The following is a 4,878-nucleotide window of genomic DNA, read 5'->3' on the forward strand; positions in this document are numbered from 1 at the left end:
AAGCTCTCTCTCTCCCTCTCTCTCTTCTGTCTTTTGTCTATTAAACTTTCTGCTCCTGAAACTCATTCCGTGTGTGTGTTCGAGTCATTACTCTTCTCAGTGCAGGACAACAAACTTCGGGTATTTCCCCAGACAATGAAGCCACTTCACTATGACTCTGCTGCGTGTGGTCTGTTTTCAGGAGAGGATTGTAACATATCTGTGGCTGAGCTCCTAGGTGATATGACTCTCCTGCTTGATTTCTGCCCTAAGGGAAGACTGTGACATATCCTTGGCCAAAAACCTACATGGTATGACTTCTCACTCACAACCCACAGGTGGGTTTGTGACATATATTTTATCCAGCTCACAGGTGTATTGATTACTCTCATACTTCAAATCAGCCAATAGAAGAGATACTGTCTTCCATAGCTAGTCTTAGAAAAAAAAGTAAGATGATGAGTCTCCTCTTTGAATGAAGGTCATAAAAAATTACCATTCTTTTACATATCATATAAAGCCCTCAAGTGGTAGAGAGAGTGTCACAGTAAACAAGTGAGATTGTGTTTCTCATATGTGCACCCCACAAACTGTTAATATTGTCACCTCACACATATGGACAGTGCCAACTGGGGAGGTCCTTAGTCTCACATGTTGACACAGCTCACAGTTCGGACTGTGACTGTCATATGTAAACATCCAGCTACAGTTGAAATGGCAACTCGTTTCTAATTCTGGCAGGTTTGAGCTGTTCTATGTAGACATATCAAATTGGAGAGATGTTGACTATCATATTTGAGCTTTGGGCCACAGGTAGAATCATGGGTTCATACAAACACAAAAATCTTAGAGCAGATTGTGACTTTAATGTATATTGTATAAAGCCCTCAGGTGTTACAGAGGGTGTCCTAACAAAGCATGGCACACAGGTGAGATTATGACACTCATATACACACCCAGCCAACAATAAAATTGTCATTCTTCTACATGAACACAGGCCACTGTTGAGGTTCTGAATCTCACATCCAAAAAAAGTAGAAGTTGAAAAATTAACTCATACATTGCTTTGGTTCATAGGTGGGTAGGTGACCTTCAGACCAAGATCGAGCATATCTATGAGGCTTTGACTCCATTAAAGGGACACAGTCTGCAGGAGGGATTGAGGCTCTTGTGGATGGATTCAGTAAAGTGTTGAGACTGGGTCACACACTTAGACCCAACATACAGGAGGTGGCGCCTCTCATACCTGGAACTGGGACATGTGCAGGATTCTTAATTTCATGCCTGGACCTTCCTACGGCTGCAATTGTGACATACACCTCCGCCTAGCACTTGAGCAATTTTACTTTCCTTCTTGGGCTCAGCTGACAGACTGAATGGTTATATATTGCTGCACCCAGCACTTAGTCGATGTGAATTTATTCTTTTGCCTTAGGTTTGCCTACAGGGAGAATTTTGACATATGACTGTTCTTCACACTTAGGTTATATGACTCTCCTCCCTATGCCTTGCCCATGGGGGCCACTGTGGGCCCCTGTGGGGGATTTAATCCCCCAGCCTGTGCTCTGCCTATAGAAGGCATTGTGACATATCTTCCACCCGTGGCCCAGGTGATGAGACTCTCTTTATTTGCCTGGTTTTTCTGTTTACAAGTGGAATTGTAACATATCACTGAACATAGCGCTTCACTGATGTGACTCCTCTTCTTCCTACGTTCTGCCTACAGAGGACATTGTGACATATCATTGGGCCCAACACCAAAGTGACATTACTCATTTGTCTCGGCCTTGACCTCAGAAAGCACTGTGACATATTGCTGGACCCAGTACCAAGGTGATGTGAGCCTTCTCCCTGGATGCTGTTCACAGGAGTTATTGTGACACATACCTAAGGACCCATTGTCTATTTGATGTGGCTTTCCTCTATTACCTGAACTCTGCCCATAAGAAAGATTGTGATATACCTCTGGGTCCAGCACTGAGATGTTGGCACTCTTCTCCTTGCCTGTGCCATGCCTACAGAAATGAAAGTGACTTATCACTGTGTCCAGCGAACACATGATGTGACTCTTCTGCCTGGCCTATGCCCACAGGAATTATTGTGACATACCTCTAGGCTCATCACCTAAATAATATGACTCTCCTCTTTTTTCTTAAATCTGTCCACAGTGGGGATTATCACACATTGCTTTGCCCAGCAGCTATGTGATGTGACTCTTCTCTTATGCATGAGCCCTGCCCTCTGGGCCAGTGATGACATAGAGCTGGGCATAATCTTTAGGTTATGTAACTGTTCTTTCTCAGCCCTATCCAAAAGGAGTATTGTGACATATCTCTGAGCTCTTCACCAAGGTAATGTGACTCTCCTGCCCAAGCTGCTTCCTCATAAGGTATTGTGACATATTGCTGGATCCAGCAATAGGTGATATAAACCTACTCATCTACTTGGGTCTGCCTAAGAAAGAATTGTGATGTATTTCTGGGCCCAGCACCTAGGTGATGTGATTCTCGCCTCCTGCCTGTGCCCTGAATACATTATGTGTTGTGATATATGGCTGGGCCCAGCACTTAAGTGATGTGACATTCCTCTTTAGCCTTGGCCTTGCATATTTTGAGTATTTGTGACATATCATTGGGCCCAACACTGAGGAGATAGAAAGATATTGCCTGTGCCCTTACCACAGGGGACCTTGTGACATATCTCTCCATCTATTACCTAGGAGATATGGCTCTGCTCTTTAGCCTGCACCCTGCCCACAGAGAAAATTGTGACATATTGCTGGGCCCAGCAACTGAGCGATGTTACTCTCTTGCTTGGTTCTTGCCCAAAGGGAGCATTGTGAAATATTCCTGGCCTAACACCCAGCTGATGTGACCCTTCTGCATGCTCCCGATTCACAGGTAAGATTGTGAAATACACCTTGGCCCAGTTCACAGCTGCGATGATGACTCTGTTACCTTGAACCAGCCAGTTAAAGAGACACTGTGTCTTGTAACCAAAACAGCATGGTACTGGTAGAAAAACAGACACATAGGCCAATGAAACCAGAAGAGAAAACTCAGAAATAAGACTGCACATTACAATCATCTGATCTTTGACAAACCTAAAAAAACAAGCAATGGGGAAAGGATTACTTATTTAATAAATGGTTCTGGGAGAACTGGCTAGCCATAAGCATATAATTGAAACTGGACCCCTTCTTTACACCTTATACAGAAATTAACTCAAGATACATTAAAGACTTAAATGTAAAACCCAAAACTATAAAAATCCTAGGAGAAAATCCAGGCAATACCATTCAGGACATAGACATGGGCATGGGCAAAGATTTTATGAAAAAAACATCAAAAGCAACTTCAACAAAAGCAAACATTGACAAATGGGATCTAATTAAACTAAAGAGCTTCTGCACAGAAAAAGGAACTATTGTCAGGGTGAACAGACAACCTACAGAATGGCAGAAGCCTTTTGTAATCTATCCATGTGACAAAGATCTAATATCCAGAATCTAGAAGAAACTTAAACAAAAATTTTTAAAAAGAAACTCCATCAATAATTAGGCAAAGGACATGAACAGACACTTCTCAAACGAAGACATTTATGTGGCCAACAAACATTTTTAAAAAGCTTAACACCACTGATCATTAGAGAATTGCAAATCAAACCACAATGAGATACCATCTCATACCAGTCAGAATGGCAGTTATTAAAAAGTCAAGAAACAACAGATGCTAGCAAGGCTGTGGATAAATGGGAATGTTTTTACACAGTGGGAATATAGATTAGTTCAATCATTGTGGAAGACACTTTGGCAATTTCTTAAAGACCTAGAACCAGAAATACCATTTGACCCCGCAATCCCATTACTGGGTATATACCCAAAGGAATATAAATTATTTTATTACAAAGATACATGCATGTGTATGTTCACTGCAGCACTATTCACAATAGCAAAGACATGGAATCAATCCAAATGCCTATCAATGTTAGACTGGATAAAGAAAATGTACATATACACCATGGAATGCTATGCAGCCATAAAAAGGAACAGGGTCATTTTCTTTGCAAAGACATAAATGGAGCTGGAAGCTGTTATCCCCAGCAAACTAATACAGGCACAGTAAACTAAACACCACATGTTCTCATTTATAAGTGGATATGAGCAATGTGAACACATAGACACAAGTTGGGAAACAACACACACTAGAACCCGTCTGGCAAAGTGGGTAGAGGGAGAAAATCAGGAAAAATGGCTAATGGATGCTGGGCTTAATATCCAGGTTATGGGTTGATAAGTACAGCAAATCACCATGGCAACATTTACCTATGTAACAAACCTGCACACTCTGCACGTGTACCCAAGAACTTAGAAAATTATTAATTTTTTTTTAAAAAAAGAGAGAGAGAGACACTGTATTTTATAGCTAGGCTTAGAAATATGTGTAAGATTCTGGGTCTCCTCTTTGTACAGAGCTCATAGAAAATCATCACTTTCTCACATATGGTGTAAAGCCCTCTGGTGGTACAGGGAGTGTCATTACAGGGCCCAGGACACAAGTGAGATATTGTTTCTCATATGGACACCCTTCCAACTGTTAGGAATGTCACTCTCACAGAGCCTCCTGTTGAGTTCCTAAATCTCACACGTGAACGCAGTTCAAAGTTGGAATTCTGACAGCCATATGTAAACATCTGGCCCAGTTTGGATGGTGACTCATTTATCAACCCAGCTTATAGGCAGGTAAAAACTCTCCTATCTGGACCCAGCCAATTAAGGAGATGTTGACTGTAATACCTGGGCTTAGGGCCACAGGTAGAATAATGTTTCCATACCAGCACGAAGATTCTAGAGTAAATTGTGACTCTCATGCATACTGTATAAAGCTGTTGAGTGTCATA

The sequence above is a fragment of the Homo sapiens genome, chromosome 7 (assembly GCF_000001405.40).
Source record: "Homo sapiens chromosome 7, GRCh38.p14 Primary Assembly".
Taxonomy (NCBI): Eukaryota; Metazoa; Chordata; class Mammalia; order Primates; family Hominidae; genus Homo; species Homo sapiens.